Source organism: Homo sapiens, chromosome 5, assembly GCF_000001405.40.
Source record: "Homo sapiens chromosome 5, GRCh38.p14 Primary Assembly".
NCBI lineage: Eukaryota > Metazoa > Chordata > Mammalia > Primates > Hominidae > Homo > Homo sapiens.
Genome location: NC_000005.10, coordinates 14968135 through 14969517, shown reverse-complemented (window position 1 = coordinate 14969517; position 1383 = coordinate 14968135).

The following is a 1383-nucleotide window of genomic DNA, read 5'->3' as shown; positions in this document are numbered from 1 at the left end:
TGACCCTAGCTTCTATGCTCAGAACACTTACATTAGCCTACAGTTGGGCAAAATCATCTAACACAAAACCTACTTTATTATTGAATATCTCATGTAATTTATTGAATACAGTACCAAAAAGTAAAAAACATATGGTTGTATGGATACTCAAAGTACTGTATAATTTTCACACCACCGTAAAGTCAGAAAGTCATCAGTCAAACCATCATAAGCTGGGAACCATCTGTAATTAGGTCTTGAGTGTGGAGCCCTCATGAATGGGATTAGTGCCCTTATAAAAAGAAACAGAGTGATAATTTTTCTGTCTACCATGTGAGAATACATCAAGAAGGCATTAGTCTACAAACCAGGATGAAGGTCCTCATGAGGAACTGAATCAGCCAGCACCTTGATTTTGGACTTCCCAACTTCCATGACCCTGAGAAATAAATGTTGGTTAAGCCTCCCCATCTATGGTATTTGTTATAGCAGCCTGAAATGAGTAAGAGGCTAAAACCAGTATCACTTTAATAATGAAAGTAGAGTCCCAACTCCTCAAATGAGCTTTCCCTTAGCACAGAGGAAATTTGTGCCTTTCACTTAATTTGTGTTTACAAACCCAGCTATTTGGGGTAGAGATAGGTATAGAAGAAACAAGGTCAGGGAGTTCTTCAAAACCTCAAGTATACTCATCTGAGAGCAGAAAAATCCAAATACAGAAACTGAATTATAATGCATTCACACTACCCATTGCTCAAGTACAAATTCACTTGTCATGTGCTTCCTTTGGGATTTTTCTCTTCCAGTAGCTAGGCGGGAGAGAAAAATTTAATTAATCTTAAAAGCTCCAATGTGCTTTGCAGCGTGGAAGAGGTCACAAAGAATACCAAAATTTTTCAGCAACCACTTCAAACATAGATAGAAAATTAAGTTGATTTTGTCAACTTCAGATACAAAGGCATAGAAGTAATCCCAATTCTAGTCATCTCTGGTGTTTTGATTTTTACATTTTCTACCAGGGTTAGCTATGATAGGAAAAAAAAAATAGAAGCAATGCAAATATTCCACAGTGGGAGAATAGTTGGTAAATTACAGCAAAGTAAGTCATCATCATAACTAACAACTATTAAGAGCTTATTTTGTGACAGGCACTGTGCTATGCAATTTCGATGTATTACCTCATTCAGTCATCACAATAATCTCCATTTCACATGTAACTAAATTTGAGACACAAAGACGTTCCATAAATTCCCTGAGACCATAGAACTAATAAGCAGGAGTCTGAATATAAACTCAGGACTCCGGTGTCCTTGTTTTTAAGCACTACACGATGCTACTCTGTGGTCAGACATGTCCCCTCTATGAAGGGAATTAATAGTCTCCAGGAGAGTTAGATGTGTAAAT